Source organism: Homo sapiens, chromosome 11 (assembly GCF_000001405.40).
Source record: "Homo sapiens chromosome 11, GRCh38.p14 Primary Assembly".
In the NCBI taxonomy this organism is placed as follows: Eukaryota; Metazoa; Chordata; class Mammalia; order Primates; family Hominidae; genus Homo; species Homo sapiens.
This window is the reverse complement of record NC_000011.10, coordinates 22,864,519-22,880,740: the sequence shown is the minus strand read 5'-3', so window position 1 is coordinate 22,880,740 and position 16,222 is coordinate 22,864,519. Positions and strand designations below refer to the sequence as shown.

The following is a 16,222-nucleotide window of genomic DNA, read 5'->3' as shown; positions in this document are numbered from 1 at the left end:
TGTGATGAAAGTAAAAAAGTTAGAAACAAATTATGAATTGAACAAATTATGGTAAATCCAAACATTGTAATGTTTTGTAGCCATTAATAATTATGGCAGATATTTAACTTATTACCTGGAAAAAATTTTGATATATTTATCCATGAAAAAAGCAGGCTGCAAAGCATTTCCTAGTCTATAAGTCACCTTTAATATACACATATATATGTTAGGATTTCTCAGATGACACTGTCAGAAACTATAGTCAAACATGATTAGGGCCAAAAAAAGGAAATTTTTGGCTCATATAATGTATAATTAGGATTTGAGGATAATGGGATTGAAGGGGATAAGTTTTGTTGGTCAGGAAAACATAGATATGGATTGAGGTAGTTTCCAAATGAAAAAGGGATCCTGTTTTTATCCAAAGAATGGTAGGAAGGGCTACTAAACTAGAAAAACAATTACTTCAAATTGAATAGATTAGATAGATAGATAGATAGATAGATAGATAGATAGATAGATAGACAGATAGATAGATGGATGATAGGTAGACAGACATGGAAAGAAAAATATAATAGATGTGTGACCATGTTAACAGATATTTTATCTGGATGGTCATGTTATGAGCGATTATTTTTTCCTACCTGGAGCTTCTCTGTTTATGAGATATACTCTGACTCTCAGTCTCTTTTCCACTCTTTGATTTGGAGAGTTTGGAAAGCTACAATCTAAACTCCCCCTAATATTCTTGAAGCTAACATTCTGGATGCAAATTATCTATTTCCAGTACTTGAGAGAAATTGAGAAAATTGAGAAAGTCTGCAAGGCAGAATGAAGAAAAGACGATAGCATGTTCCTGCAACTCTTGGCTCTTGCTGCTGGCATTTTAGAAATGTGAGACTTTCCTGTAGCTGCATTCCAGATCTGTGCACCATTTTTCCGGGTATGAAACTGCAGAATGACATCCTACTCTGGCTTCCTAAAATCAGTCACTGTGAGAGGCAGCTGTGGCAGCAGTACTAGCAGCTGCTTCAGGGATAGTAGTAGCTCCTCTGTGGATCAGCTTGGTATTCTTTTGGACATCAGTCCAGAAAGTCTGGAACAGAACCTGTTCTTTCAGCCCTTCCAACAATAAGCAATAATAGTTGCTAAGTTGTAAGGAACTAATATCTTGTATTAAATTCCTTTCTACTTAAAATACTTGCACCAATTTCTGTTTCCTGCATTCAACATTACTGATTTGCCTATATTTTACTATATTGTGATTGTACATATATATATATATATCTTGTGTAATAAAACATACTTAAAAAGTCATTTTATTCCTCTCCAACACAAATTCCTTATTTAAATTAAACTGGTCGTAATGTATGCATTTATATTGTCTATGTCTCCCTCCTATCTACTCAGACTTAACTGGGAGAAACCACAGCACATAGTGCAGTAGCAGAGAATTCTGACTGTCCCCACCATGTGCACTGTGCTCAAAAAAGCAACAGCAGTTTGCGCAGGAAAACTGTTGGGTCCAATATGGCAGGACAAAAAGTTAGTGAAGTGGAGATATGAAGAATCTTCTAAACCCATGAAAAATCAGGGGTAGAAAGAAGTTTTGCAGAAGTCTAGAATTTCTCTTTGGGATGGTAAGAGCAAGAGCAAGAATGATTTAAAATTGTACATTTATATCATCTAATCTTTATGTATGCTTTCATTATCATTTTTTGCCCACAAGAACTCTGAATTTTGATAGTGTCCATTGGACTTTAAAATCATCTACCTCTTTGCTTGGCTGTGATTAATTTCCTCTTCTTTACTCCTATAGAAGAAAGTTGACATTAGATTGTATTATTTTGTGTCTTTATTAGTTTTTTTTAAGGAAATGCATATGGGAATTGACTCATATTAGACTCTATCAAATGTGTCAGAAGGGAGTTTCCAATCCTCATCCCTGTAGACATCAAGTAAAGAATTCTATTGCTCAGAGAAAACCAGTGACACCAGTTTGGATAAAGACTTTCTGACATTTTTTGATGCATTTGCATCACCTTACTTTCTTTTTAAAATGGAAACACACTGTACATACTGTTTACTACTCAATACTTTCTCTCAGCAATATATCATGAAAATATTTCCATGTCAATATACAGTTGAATCTATCTTTTTTTTAATGGCTGCACTGTGGCCCACTTTATGTATGTAGCTTATTTAACATGTATTCTGTTGATCAACTTAGCAATCATTTCCTGATTTGGGCTCTTAAAAACAGTGAGGCAATCTATAGCTTTGTTTACATGTGAATTAACTTGATTTGAAAAAACTCTTCAAGTGCAGGTTTCATCTGCCACCTAGCAAACAATGTTAAGAACTGGCCAGGTACAGTGGTTCACACCTGTAATCCTAGCAATTTGGGAGGCCAAGGCAGGACTGCTTGAGCCCAGGAGTTGGAGGGTGCAGTGAGCCACACAATTATACCACTACACTTCAGCCTGTGCAACAGTGAGACCATGTCTCAAAAAAGAACTATGTAGTTTATACAGTATGAAGCCTGAGAATGAATTTATGTTTTTATTATAGTTATAAAATCTGGGTTGAGGTGTAAAAGTCAGGAGCTATTAGTATATTGAGTGTAAACTTCTTCACCCTTTCTCCTGCAGCAGACCAAAAATAGATTCATGAAACAAAGAGGTTATTAGCCACTGTGGTATATGGATACACTTGAGAAGATTTATATATTTGAAATAGAGAATTTAGTCCACCACCAAAAGCAAATTAAACATGTTTTATTGTTCTAAAATACAAATGTATTATCAAAAATATATCAGTGTTATCAGTGATTCAGTAAAAGTTACAGCAGCAAAAAAAAAAATAAAGTAGATAATTTCAGTTAACTGAGAAAATAACTCATCTGAAAAAAAGAATCTATTTTATTTCAAGTGTATCCCAAGAAAAGGCTGGCAATGTGAGCTAAAGCTGAAATTAGTGTTATAGATGGTGTTAGGAAATCATATTTCCTTTAAAGTCCTAAACTCAATAAAACTTAATTCCAAGAACTCTAAGGAGGAACCTCCATGCACTCAGCATTGGCTTCATAATGCATTCAGCATGGCAAATACAGAGACAATCTTCTTAACAAAGCATACCTCCATAGAATCTCAAAGCTCAAAGGGAGTTTGAAGTTCATCTAATTGTTCTACCAGACTACTAGTTTATACAAATGAAACAGTAACTTATGTTTGAATATCTCTAGTTACAGGCAACACTACCTACCATAGAAATTTGTTCTATTTTTAGATACTCAGGTTTTTTGGTTTGTTTTTAGTTTTTTTTTTTTAATTCTTCCTGTAAGCTTTTGCTCTTAGAGCAGCCTTGCAGATACCAAAGTTATCATCTGCATCCTGAACATTCTCTTAAGGGGGAATAGCTTGCCATTGAAAAATATTCTGAATTCTTTAATTTAATTTTATTTTCCAGAGGCCTCTGATTTTTTATTTGTTCATTCATTCTGTCATGATATGATATGGTACACTCACTCACTGCAAATACAGCAGTGAGAAAGGTGATGAACATGCTTCTGTCCTCATGAACTTACACTAGGGGTAGGTAGGGCCAGATTTAGATGGAGGGAGCGTAGTGTGATAAAGTTTGTATAGAAAGAAAACGCTATAGAAAATGATTGGAAAGAATAGTATGAGACAGACCTGAAGAGGTGCCTTTTGGGCACGTTGAGGTTTGACTGCTTAGAGAAGTAAAAAGTTATTGAAGGTTTTTATAAAAATAGGAATGAAATGATCAAATTTGCATTTATAAAACATTGCTCTTGATCTCATGAAAGAAAACAGATTAGAGGGGGCAAGAGGAAGGTAAGTCAACTTCTAGTAGGCTATTGGATTGCCCCACTAGCTGAAGGTAGGAGATAGAAGGAAGTAATGTGGTATGTGAGAAATTGATTCATTTCACAGACATTTAATAGGCAAGTATTTAGAATTCAATGATCTGGCAACAATTTTTAGAAAATAGAGTTTCTGCTAATATGAAAGCTTAAAGTTATGAAGCTGTTTAATTTTTACTTCCTATTGTTTAAAGTGATTAAAGACTTAAACATTGGCAACAGAATAAACAAATACATTAAAATTGAACAGTATTTTAGAAAAATTCATGAAGTATTATAGAAGAAAGATTTCAAACCCTTTTTTTCCTGATTTGAACATGTCAGAAAGTGTGTCTGCAGTTTCCCAGATCTCCTAATTCAGTGTTTCATCTTCCTAAGAAAATCACAGTGGAGAAATAGAAAAGAGCAGAGGATTTATGGTATATGATAAGTACATACTTTATAAAAATGTATAATCTTCAAACATATAGAGAAACAGTACAATAACAATATTTAAATATGCTCTCTTTTTTGCAAAGACTATGAATAATAAAAATTAGAATATAAAAGTATTTCTTGCTTTCATGAGCTGGACCAGAATTCTTTAATTGTAAAAATAATACACTTAAAGTTGAAATTTGAAGGTATGGAAGGTAGAGGATTCAGACAATGCTCTTCACAATACTCAGATTATAAATCCTGTGATTCAGTAAAATTGAAGTTGTCTATTTCAAATGCAGACACTGATTTTAAAGACTGGTCACCTAGCTCCACCTTCTGGCTAAACAATAACTTTTGTTTCCTTACCCACTCCTGGCATAGTTTCATGAAGGTTAAATATTATGATGTTGGCGCCACCTGCTGGAATGTTTTTCTAAAAACAAACATACCCTAGAGATGGGAAATTAGATGGCTATACCGCAGAAATATGACTTCTAATTTCTCTGGAAAAAAAATATATATAATATTTGAAAAATAGCTAGATTATGCTAAAGAATTATTATGAATTATATTTATTCTTATGAAAAAAGTTATATATCCCTTTAGCAACTCACTTTCTATTTCCTCTTTTGCTGTCCCAATGCAAACCTTAGCCACAAAAGAAACTATCCCGAAATAGTTTAAGAGGAAAATTAATATTTGAGCACACTGAAATAGATTATTCCTTAAATTGTATAATTGTAAGAAGTAGATAGTATTAGTCCCCCATTTACTCACTAGAAAATTGAGATTTATTCAGTTTAGCTGCATCTAAATTATCTTATACCAAAATAAAATACAGTAAAATTTGAATTAAGGTATTTTTACACTGAATTTTTTGGTTTTTCTGCTCTACCTGTTTTCATTGCTAATTAAGGGGGGTTGAGAAAATGTGGATTGTAATTAAATATGATTTTTTAAGCGTCTGAAAAGATTTGCTAATCTCTGTTAATAGTAGGTCTTTGTCAGAAGTAAACAACTACTCTTAGCCAAGATCAATTTATTTCCTTTATTAGTTTTCCACAGGCTTCATGCCACACTTTCTGTTTGTCACCTGGGGTTTTTTTCTGCCTAGCTATCTCTAAAACCAATCATGATATTCAATATTCAAATCACCCTTATTGACATTTGGACAGAAAGGTACAAAAGAAGGAATAATAACTTGTTAATTATTCTAAGATCTTGATTAGATTCTACATAAACATTAGACATGCTAAAATTTCCATCAACTTAAAAATAGATGTTTCATTAATTCACTAATACTAATCTTATTTGATCTAAACTTTTTAAAGGATTTCCTTTTTGTGTTTTCATTGTTATATTATAGCTGTGCATAATTTGGAGTTACCTGTGATATTTTGATATAGTTATACGATGTGTAATTATCAAGTCAGGGTAACTGGGATATCTATCACATCAAACATTTATCTTTGTGTTGGCAACATCACAATTCTTCTCTTCTAACTATTTTGAATTATACAATAAATAATTGTTAAGTGTAATTTATTTACAGTACTATTGAATACTGGAACTTAATATGAGCCTTTTAAATGCATTTTCAATAATATTTTAGCTACTAATAAATGCCAGTCAGGATGCTCCATTGCAGCTGGCAAGGAGGACTCTCTTTAGGTTAAGTTGTGAAGAAGGATGGCAGCCTAGCAGAATGAAGGTGGATATGAGAAGCCTCCCTCATCTGCAGAGAAAACTATTAGTAGTAGGACAAAATAAGGCCAGCATACAGAGGGAATAAAGCTAATACTAAGATGAATAGTTATTATTTGAACAAAATTTCCTTCTGTTTTTAACCCATTATCAAAACAAAATAATAGTCTTTCCAGTTTGTTGCTTTCATAAGTGTTTCTGCTCTTGCAACTAAGGGAGTGCTAACATAGCTCTGCAAAATTACTTACTGATTAATATAGTACTAATACCTATAGTACTTATTGACTAATACAGTACTCCAAAAATATTTATTGAATTAATATATGTTGAATGGAATGACCTTATTCTCCTAAGTTCTCTGAGCTTTATTTCTTTACTCAATTATAAAAGTTAAGGTAATCGTACACACATTACCTTTTCTCAAATTTAATATGGTTTATAAATGTGCTATACAAATATCAAAGATCACGACATTTAACCTGCCATATTGTTCAACAAATGAATCCATGCACCCAGAAAGTGTTCCTTAAATATGTTATATGTTCAATAAAGGTAAACGTGTTTGCCAGAGTAATCTGTTTCCATGTGTCCGTTCTAACACGCAAAACCAGGTAGGGAGAGTTTTCCAAGGATTTTATAATTTCATACAGAACTGTAACTCACTGTTATGACAAAGCAAGTTAAGTTAAAGTATCAGTATAATGATTGCTAACATCCATATTTGTCATATAATAGGTGCTTGAAAGAAAATCCTTTGTATGAAATAATATTCCACTTACATTTTTTCTCTTTGTAAGAAAAAGGAAGTCATTCTGTCAATATAAGAGGAAATAATTTCTCACACAAGTTTTTCAGTTCTTGCTATCTGAAAAATATCTTATTTAGGATGCTAATCCAACTGTTAGTGTTCCTGTGATTGTATAAGTATCAGAAGAGCAATTTGTATTTATTTCTGTGATATTAAGTATGTAATGCAGTTTTCAAAGATGACTTAATTAAATACCTAGAATAAGACAAAATCAAATGTCTTTAAAAATGTCTTCAGTAAAAATAAGCATATCTTAATAAGGTTACTTTTTTTCTTAATAAATATTTATGTATGTTCTTTGGATAAATTTCCAATCTTCCATTCTATATCATCTATTTTCACTTTTGTCCTCAAAATAGCAACTTACTGTAGAAAATTATACAACAATCAAAACTAGAGAATACATAAAGGAAGAGATTTGTTATCTCTGTGAACTTGAATACAATTATTTGCTATTATACACAACGACAGTTTTAGTACACTCACCCTGTTATCATCCCAGCTTTCCCTTGATTTGAGATTTTAAGAATTATAAGTACTGCAAGAGGAGCTCTCTTCATTACTAAAACTTAGCTGAAAATTAATTTTTGTTCTAAAAATACATTGCATTGTGGTTTTTTTCTAATAAGTATAATCTAATTAGCTAAATAAACTGAAGACCGCAAAATAAGAAGTGGCTTCAAATGAGTCCCTTTATTCTCCTGTAAACTCATACACATACAGTATAAACCTAGAGGAAAATGGAGAGTAACAGGAAGCTATGACTTGCCATACAGACTCTAAGTCTTGAGTACTACTGATCCTAACATCAAGGTACTTTCAATATACAATTTCTAAAAATGCATGCTATCTAATAAAGATGCATCCAATAATGATCCTTTTAGCCACACCTTATCTAGATTAAAAGTTAAGTACTCAACAATTATAAAGTGCGACTATTAATCACTCATTTCACCTTTGCTCTGATGGTTGTCCAAAAATTAGTATTAGGTACTAAAATTCAGGATTATTTTTCTCAGTAGGGAGTTAATTGTCACTCCAGCTAAATAATCACCAGTATTTCCTCTTTAGATTTATATCATTTCCAGGAGCAAATATGACATTATCATCACTTTTGAAAGATTTCTTCAGATCAAAATTAGGCAAGAAGAAATTTTTCTATCGCTCTGAAGATCACTCTTCATGGGGAGAGAATCATTTGTTTTGCTATGAAAGTTAATCACCATTAGCAAAAAAAAAAAAAAATGTATTTTTTTGTTGATACTTTTATGTGTGAGGATCTGCCTTTCAGTATGAAGCAGGACCAAACGATTCTGTAACCTTGACTTCCATAAATCAGAACACAAATGAGAAACCAGGAAGAGCAGGCTCCAATATGTTTCTCTAGGCTGATTGCATGCAGGAGAAGGTGAGTTAGGGCAGAGATTGGAAAGCGTGAGAAAATGTTTTATATTAGCCTTTGGATTCTTGTACGTGTTTGATGAGTGATAGTACACTTGGGTCCTTTCTAGAAAGAAACTGTGCTTTCAGTCTTTCCCAAAAATTTTTATTTACTTTGATACAGGGTGACAGAAAGTTAAAACATTCCAACTATGAGAAAAATAAACTATTTGGGGTGCAAATATCACAAAAATTTGTTGTCAGTTTGACTCTTTAAACTTTCAGAGATGTAGCTAAAATAGCTAAGTTTCTACTTGTAATAATTTATTAATTTATTACACATCTATGTTTAAACCCATGTTTTATAAATAGTATTTATAAATGTCCTACATAAGTTTAGAAATATTACTTATTTTCATGCCCACATTTCTTTAAACAGTTGTGTTCAACTTCTTCATATGTGTGTTTAACATTACTGTCATAATTGTCGCTGGAGGCTGGGCATGGTGGCTCACACCTGTAATCCCAGCACTTTGGGAGGCTGAGGCAGGCAGACCACTTGAGGCCAGGAGTTCAAGACCAGCCTGGCCAAAATGGCGAAACTCCATCTGTACTAAAAATACAAAAATTAGCCAGGCCTGGTGGCACACAGCTGTAATCCCAATTACAAGAATCCCTTGAACCCAGGAGGCAGAGGTGGCAGTGAGCCGAGATGTTGCCACACACTACAGCCTGGGCCACAGAGTGAAACTCTGTCTCAAATAATAATAATAATAATAATAATAATAATAATAATAATAATAATCGCTACAACAAGTTTTTGCATCATATAGTGATTTTCAAAGCCTTATCCTTTCACTCCCATCTCAGTGTCTTCAAATACAGCACTTTTTAAGTTCTAGTTTGATGCCGTTACGTGTTACAGGGAATTTATCCAAAGCCTTGACATTCTTTCACATTACATTAGAATAGTTGTTCATTTTTATCTGTCCTTTAGGTGTGTATTTAGGATCTCCAAAGCGTAGCCATTTATTTATTCTATTAGCTTTGAAAGTGATCTTTAAAAGACTTGCTTATAATTACTTTCAGAACTCTAAAAGGTAAAGTTTTATCCCAAGAGATAATTAGTAACTTTTTCTTGACTTGTGTTTTTATTGATTCAGCTAGGTGACACTAATAAATATTAAAAGCTAGCATTCATTACTTCCATTTCCAACTAATGTGTTTTCCTAAACAAAAAAAAAAAACACAAAACTTTATTTTCCAAAATAAAATAATTGAGGAAGAGCCCTGAAATAGAGACTTCATAAGGGACCTGACATGAAGCAACTCTCTTCTGTGAAATAACTTAGAGTAATAACTCAACCTTATCTTGGGTCAGACATGGAGTCAGCAAAGGTAACGAAGCTGAAAATGTAGATCAAGTTCAAAATAACAGGAGAAAATTTAAATGGGTGGGCATAATAGTTCCTTAAACTCACGAAGTTGGAGAGATGGGTAGAGGAAGGAAAGGAGAGAGGCAGTGAGAAAAACAGCAATCACCACAGGTTTGGGATCTCTCAGCTATTTATTTCCCTTTTCTAATCTCAACTCTTAGCTCCGTTTTTAATCATTTAAACTTTTCTTCTTCAACTGCTAGATTTCACCCATCAGTCTCTCATGACTGAAGGCTAATGCAAAGATGGCCCGTAAATGGTCCCTCCTGGCCTATAAAACCATTTCTTGTGAACTCTCTCTGATTTCCCTTTTATCCCTCCTCTCATACATTCATAACTCATACATTAATATAATGCTAATATAAGAAAAGGGAAATACCCACTTCTAATTTCCTGGACTTTGTGGAATCTCTCTAGTCCAGGCCCCTTACTGTCTCTACTGAACATACTTGTTCTGTCTTATCCTTTCTGGCAGCCGACTTAGGACTTCTGGCCTTAGTTTCTGTTCATCTACCAAGACCCATAATTTATGAGGCACCATCATCCGCCAGCATCTCACCTCTGCCAGCTTGTGCCTATACCCAGCCTCTACATATCCATTAGTCTAAAAGGAATTCAGAGACCAGAAACGTTGACATATAACAGTCATACCAAAAAGGATATGTGATTAAAAGTGCATTAAAAAATTGTCAAAGACAAATTCCCAAATTCCCATATGGCATTTAACAGCAAAAGAGGCCATTTGTTGCTTTTTTTTTTTTTTTTTTTTTGAGACAGAAGTTCTCTCTGTTACCCAGGCTGGAGTTCAGTGGCATGATCACAGCTCACTGCAACCTCAACTTTCCTGGGGGTCCAGTGATCCTCCCAGTTCTGTCTCCCAAGTAGTGGACTACTGGTCCACGCCACAATGCCTGGTTAATTTTTTGCTGAGATGAGAGGGTCTTACTTTGTTGCCCAGGCCGATCTCGAACTCCTGGATCACTTGAGTCCAGGAGTTCGAGATCAGCCTCGACAACAATTGCTATTTTTAACATTCAAACTGCAGCTCCTGGTTAACTGTTTTCCTTGCAATGGCCCAATGACCTAGTGACACATTAAGCATGGCCCTAACTTTGTGCCAAAGCTGTAAGAAGGTATAGCTCCAGGCAGCAGAAAGAATAAGTAGGTCTTTTTGGGGCAAAAGGGAAGCAGGTGAAATTAGCCCCTATCCTGGAACAGGTTAAGACAAATCATAGCCCTAAAGATGGAAAATGTGATATGCTTTCTGCATAGAATTCAAAACTAAAATGCAATGCTAAATCTGATATGCTGATAATGGCTCCAAATGTGTGTCCACCTCCTATCTCTAATCCCTGGAACCTATGAAAGTTACCTAATTTGGAAAATGGGTATTTGCAGATGTGATTAAGGGTTTTGAGATGAGGAGACTATCCTGGATTATCTGGGTGGGCCCTAAATGCTATCATAACTGTCTCTATAAGAAGGAAGCAAAGAGGGAGATTAGATACACACAGAGGAAGGGTACATGTGAAGATAGAAACAGCAACTGGAGTGACATAGCCTCAAGACAAGACAGCCACCAGAAACTGGACGAGTCAAAAAACCCCTAGAGTCTGTAGGGAGCAAAGCCATGCTGGTATATTAATCTCAGACTTTCAACCTCCAGAACTGTGAGATGATACATTTCTGTTGTTTTTAGTAACCAAGTGTGGTGACTTGTTACAGTGGCAATAGGAAACGAATACACTAACCCATAACATAAATTTAGGGAAGTCCGACAAAAATGCTGTCCCTCTACCCTGGTGTGACTCCTTCATTGGTTTTCATTGATTTCTCTTTTTTATTTTCTTTTGAGACAGAGTCCACTCTGTCACCCAGGCTAGGGTGCAGTGGCATGATCCGCTCACTGCAACCTCCACCTCCTGGGTTCAAGCGATTCTCTTGCCTCAGCCTCCCAGGTAGCTGGGATTTAAGGTGCATGTCACCATGCCTGGCTAATTTTTTTTTTTTTGAAAAATAGGGTTCCATCATGTTGGCCAGGCTGGTCTTGAACTCATGACCTCAAGTGATCTGCCCGCCTCAGCCTCCCAAAGTGCTGGGATTACAGGCATGAGCCATCACACCTGGCCTCCTTCATTGATTTCTTTGTTCAATATTAAGTCTGTAGAATTTCACCTAAATTGTTTTCAGAGTTAGGGAGAAATTACTGAACAATCTTCAACAGGGACTAGTAGCCAAATTGTGTCTATATTTTAGCAATACATTTGAAAAAGTATTTTATGATACAGATTCAAATGAAATTGATGTAGTAAGAACTAGTTAATTGCAAATTTGGGTGAATGGGAACTAAGTAAACAATTCTATCAAAAGGTATTGGCAAATCAATAATGATCAACATGAAAGGAAGCTTTCTGTGCTGTGCTACAGAGCATGCTTCTCAGTGCTGTTCTATGCAAGGTTTGCATCACAAATCTGGATGATGACATGCTGAACTAGTTCACTGATATGGAGGCATTTTGTTGCAGAGATTAATAAAAATGACTCTTGACAACATAGAGTGATAAGTTATATCTAAAAAGATGCAACTTAATACAGACAAATTAAAAATCCTATAACCAAGATTTCACAAGTTAACTGTACAGGTATGGAAAAGGAAAAAATCCACCATATATTCCTTACAATGGCAACAATAGTAAAAAAGAACATTAAATGTTACAATGTGCCAGGTGATAAAGAGATGATGGAGATAGATAGGTAGATAGAAGATAGATAGATAGATAGGTAGATAGACAGACAGACAGATAGATGATAGATTTTTCACAAACTTTGTGGTGTAGATTTAAGACCACCTACATAATTTGCAGGTTCTAGCACCAAATAAAAATGCAGAACCACTTGTTCAAAAATTAAGAATTTTATCAAAAGGCTGCAGGAAAATCATATTAACTCTTCTTTGTACAAAGCCTTGTGTGACTGCACAGGCCATATGCCATGGAGCCAGCCCTGTACTGGTATTATTTTACATGAGACCCATTCATATAGCAATCATAAGCAACCATATCTGCCTTGTTCAGTACTAAAACTCAAGCACAAAATACAGAGCTTGGAATAATAGGACGCTCAGTAGATATTACAGAATGAAAGGATGGCCAAAAAGAAAGAGTCATGTATCTCTCAACATCCCATTTACTAAGAGGAAAAATAACATTTTGTAGGGAAAGATAATAGACTTTAATTATAAGAAAAATTTCCAGTGTTTAGAGAATCATAGGACCATAAAAAAATTAAACCCCCTCAAACTTTGTTTTCAAGAAGAAAGTCACAGGACAATACTACAGATCTGAATTACTCACAATTCTCTCATTTACTTTGAAAAACAGCTGTAGATTGTAGGATAAACAGTTATATTGAAATCAAACTAAATAAGTGAAATTCTATTAATATTCCTAAATGGATTCCATGGCCCACTGGAAACCCAGAAAACAAACTAATAAAACATAAAATCAGTGAATGGTACAAGATAGATCAGTGTTGATATTCCATTTGTATTTCTGCTCAAGTGGTTTCATTTATGTGAAAAGCCTTACAAATTACTTTTTAAGAACTTACACTGTATTTGTATAAACTTACAAATGTACAATCTAATTATGGAAGCATCAAACAAACATGACAAACTTTTTTTTCTTAAAATGTAAATAAGACATTTGATGTTTCTATAAATTTGGTTGCCAAATAACCAAGTTTTAAAATATTGGGAGTGAAAGAAAAGAAAAATGAAGAGACACACACTTCAAATTATTTTATCTACAAAAAAAGTTAAGAAATTAATATTAAGTTAATATTTAAACTAACAAAAATTGTGTGGAGACTCGGCTAATTCTTGTTTTACAGGATATAGATATAGCATTTATTAGTGCAATGCTACTTTAACTAATTTCATCAGTATATATGTATCAAGCACCCAGAGAAAAATAATAAAAACAGCAGCTGAAGTACAGCAACATCTTAATAAACTAATCTTACTTGAATTATGAAATAGCACTTAAGATATAAAATAAAAATTAGCATATATTGCTTAGACAGAAAATGAGAAAAATAATCAGATGTGAGAAAATCAGATTTAAATATTAATATTCCAAATTCTTGGTGTAGTTAATGACATAAAAGACAATATTTAAAGTAATATAAAATTCCATGTAATTTTCAGACATAACTGATGCAGGATTTTTCTGAGTCACTTTGCCAGACTCGCAGAAGGGGCACCCTGTCTACTCGGCCTGCCATGCTCAACCCCCTGCAGGAGGGAGCTCATGAGCAAGTGAGTGGGATCTGACCGGCTCAAGGCACCAACACAGGAGCAAGCTCCGTGCGAGGCCCATGGCCAGATCAAGAATGTTGCCATGAGGGGAATGCAGTGGTGCCCAGGTGAAGGTGCTTGTGACCCTGAAATTCCAGAGAGGGTGGTACAGCACTCCTTTAGTTCTGCTGTCCGCAGATGGCTGTGTGTTAGCAACTCAGTTGGCCCCTTGCCTTTTTGCATGGGGTGGCTGCCCTCCGCTAGTGAGGGCAAAGGGCCAGTGTGATAGCCTTTCTGGTTTTCCACACTCAGTGGGTCCCAGGCTCTTGCCCAGTATCCAAGAAGAATGAGGTCACATGGATGGTTGAAGGATGGTGATGGTGGAGAATTTTACTGACAGATGAAAAAAGCTCTCAGCAGTGAGGGGAGCTGGAGAGGGAATAGGAAGGGCAGGTCATCTTCCCCAAAGTCAGGTTGTCTCTTCCCCTAAGTCATGCCATCTCTTTTCCCCAAAGTCAGGCCATCTCTTCCCTGAAGTCAGGCTGTGTCCTTCTCTTGACTGAGTCTGGAGTCTTTATAGGCACAGGATGGGGAGTGCCTGCTGATTGGTTTGTGAGTATGCAAAAAGGTTAAAGCAAAGACACCACTCAAAGGTGAGCATGACAGTGAAGAAAACCAATTAGGAAAGGGTAGGTATATGTAAAATAGGTGAAGGGTAGGGATTAATTGAGGAAAGCACTCCAAACTTAAAGACAAGTTCTCAATCTAGTCCAAGAACTTAACTTGTAGGTTGGCTTTTGGGCTTCAAACTGTCTTTGGCTTGGAGGTGCTTCACCAGATACCCACCACTCTCTGCCTAGGCATTTGGCTGCCTCCTGTCACTATCATAACTGCCATCTTTAATATAGAATCCTCCACATATAAGTTAGAGATTATATGAGGCATACTGCCAGGGAGTCACACAAGCAAGTAAATTGAGGAAACACTGTATAATATATACCCTTCTGAAAATTCATAACCACTTTAACATACTATAAGTTCTGAAAAGTTCTACACAAAAATATTTGTTTAATTTTGTTTGACCTAGAATTTCCCAAACTTATTTAAACTCGATACCTAATTAACGTAGGGAAATAGGTGGCTTGTTTACCTGTTTATTTTTACATAAAATTATAAGCATTTTGAGATGGTGGTTTTTCTGGAGTTTACTTTGAATCACAACTCTATATCAAACATGCACAAACAAGAATTCTGCCTTTGCTTACATTTAATAGTCACAACTTTTCACAATTCATTTTACAGTTTAACTGTACTCATTTTTTGAAAATGTAATGTTTATGCAAATAAACTGTATGGAATCAGGGAGTTAAAATACTCTTTCCCCTTACAGTTTTTACTTTGTGTATTAGTCAGAGTTGTCTACAGAAATAGAACCAATAGGATATATTCTACTAAAAGATATATATGTATCCTGTTTTATATATAAAGGGATTTATTACCTAAGGGATTTGTTTATGTCTCTAATCAGAGACAGAGGTAAGTCCAAAAGAGCCTATGCTCCAGTTTGAATCTGAAAGCAGGCAGGCTGCTTTACAATCAGAAAGAGCTTGTGTTCCAGTTCAAAAGTCATCAAGCAGGAGAATTATCTCTTAATTGGAAGAGGGCCACCCTTTCTTTCTATTCAGGACTTCAGCTGATTGGATAAAACTCCCCCATAATATGGAGGACATTCTGCTTTAACCTACAGATTCAAATATCAATCACATTTTAAAGCATCCTCACAGCCACACTCCAAATAATGTTTGACCAACTATCTGGGCACTCTGTGGCCCAGGCAAGTTGACTCATAAAGTTAACTATCACACTTGGCCTGATCAAAATTTTGAGATTTCTGTCCTGTGTGGGACACTGGCTGACTATAGTATAATAAAGGTTATCAATGGAAGGTGGGGAGAATAGAAACCATTCTAAGAATGTTTTAATCCATTTTGCAATACTATAGAGGAATACCTGAGGCTGAGTAATATATAAAGAAAAAAGGTTTATTTAGGTTACAGTTCTACAGGATATTCAAGAAGCAATGTGCCAGCTTCTGGCAAGGGCCTCAGCTTAAAATCATGGCATAAAACAAAAGGGGGGCCAGGCGTAGTGGTTCACGCCTGTAATCCCAGCATTTTGGGAGGCCAAGGCAGGCGGATCACGAGGTCAAGAGACCGAGAACATCCCGGCCAACATGGTGAAACCCTGTCTCTACTAAAAATACAAAGAATTAGCCTGGTGTGGTGGTGGGCACCTGTGTCCCAGCTACT

The 16,222-nt window shown here is 35.2% G+C and overlaps 1 long non-coding RNA gene across 6 annotated transcripts in view, besides 1 other annotated feature; it reads right to left on the bottom strand.

Annotated features, from left to right (window-relative positions):
- LINC02718 (long intergenic non-protein coding RNA 2718) overlaps positions 1 to 16,222 on the bottom strand; it is a 376,384-nt gene that overhangs the window by 325,057 nt on the left and 35,105 nt on the right. The gene's annotated exons all lie outside the window — the stretch shown is intronic.
- Positions 844 to 1,138: a silencer, noted in NCBI's record as "tiled region #14851; HepG2 Repressive non-DNase unmatched - State 24:Quies, and K562 Repressive non-DNase unmatched - State 24:Quies". NCBI's record gives its function as "represses a minimal TATA promoter and a strong SV40 promoter by Sharpr-MPRA in HepG2 cells, with weak repression in K562 cells {active_cell/tissue: HepG2 | K562}" and the evidence as "EXISTENCE:reporter gene assay evidence [ECO:0000049][PMID:27701403]".